This window comes from Homo sapiens, chromosome 3, assembly GCF_000001405.40.
Source record: "Homo sapiens chromosome 3, GRCh38.p14 Primary Assembly".
In the NCBI taxonomy this organism is placed as follows: Eukaryota; Metazoa; Chordata; class Mammalia; order Primates; family Hominidae; genus Homo; species Homo sapiens.
The window spans coordinates 67,047,114-67,048,695 of record NC_000003.12 but is presented as its reverse complement, the minus strand read 5'-3'; the positions used below and the strand labels follow the sequence as shown (position 1 = coordinate 67,048,695).

Here is a 1,582-nt window from a genome sequence, read left to right as displayed (position 1 = left end):
TTAGTTCTTTCACAGATTAACATAAGGACAAAACAGGAAGAAGGTGGGAGAGTGCAAATACAGCTCTCACAACAAGCCTATAATTAGGGGAAGTGAGAGTTGTGATATTATCTTTCACAGATTGCTTGAAAAATTATCATAATGAGGGAAATGTAAGTAAAGGTCAAGACTGAGGAAGGCTAAAATCATTTACATGAATGCTTTAGAAGAAGCTGACTTATTTTACATTGCCTACTTTTGGAAAGGAGTTGCTAAATAGAGTTTATTACTCTTCTAAAGTACAGTAACAGGAAGAAGAACAAACTGAGATATGAAGACAATTTTTTTTTATTATGAGCTGACTTTATTTTTTTATTTTTTTTATTATACTTTAAGTTTTAGGGTACATGTGCACATTGTGCAGGTTAGTTACATATGTATACATGTGCCATGCTGGTGCGCTGAATGGATTTCATTTCATGAAATTGACACAGGAAGTGAAAGTTGTAATCAGGCTATAATTATAGACCCTGGTAGTTTGCCTTTTAAGTGAATTCAGTTATGTAAAGGATACATGTGTTAATGATTTTTACGCTTCTGACAGATTACCAGCCTCCTAAGTTAAGGTGCTATATCTTTTTCAGTAATTATTACTATTCGTGACATCTTAAATAAAATACCTTTAGTTGATACAGACCAGTGGTAAAATTAACTAAAGACCAAACCAGAAAAATACACTGTGAGACAGCTTTAGAAAATGCCCTATTATTTACTTATAGAAGGTTTAACTTTACTTTTTTTTAGAAAAGAAATTCAGCCTTTTGTGATAACAATTTAAAGACATAATGTCATAGCACAGCATTCTGAAGAAGTGAATTTAACACAATTATATTATACAAGCTTGGGATTCATATTGATTTATTAGAATTATATGAAACCTATCCTCTGAAGAGCTCCAACATGCCCTAATTGAACTCCAAGAATTTGTCTGATAACTCTCTCTTGGGAAAATTAGATGAAAGCTTGCCCTAGGAGTGATTAAGAGATTTATGGGATTTATACACCAACATGAAAGCTCAGGATTTTAGGCTTGTAGTAATTGTTTCCAATCCTAAGTCCCAAAACTCTGACTCTACTATTGAGATATCTTAAAAGCTATTTCAAAATGTGCTTCAGGAGTCACACAATGTTGTTTAATTCAAACATGACTTTATACTTTTTTTGATGTGATTTATACTGTAACACACAAACACACAAACCAACTTGTTCAAAAGTGCTAAATACCAAATGTTAACACATTGGAGAGCATTAATGCCTGATCTTTCGCTGTCAGGCACAAATTTCAAAATAATATTTGCTTGGACATCTCTTTCCATACAATTGAACTTCTTATAAATGCAATATTAATTTTTTGAAATACATGTAGCTTTTCATACGTGGCTTTTTATTAATTATTCATGAGTGTGATATCTGTCACATTTGATTATACATTTTACATCAGCTTCTTTGTCTTGACAGTAATTTTTACAACATAAATAACATTTGTAAGGCTGTTCAGGTTGTAGTTATACCATCCTTAGTAATGAAACAAAATTTTGGACTT

General features: G+C 31.7%; 1 annotated feature.

Annotated features, from left to right (window-relative positions):
* Positions 536-595: a silencer, noted in NCBI's record as "silent region_14510". NCBI's record gives its function as "represses an Ori minimal core promoter by ATAC-STARR-seq in GM12878 lymphoblastoid cells {active_cell/tissue: GM12878}" and the evidence as "EXISTENCE:reporter gene assay evidence [ECO:0000049][PMID:35858748]".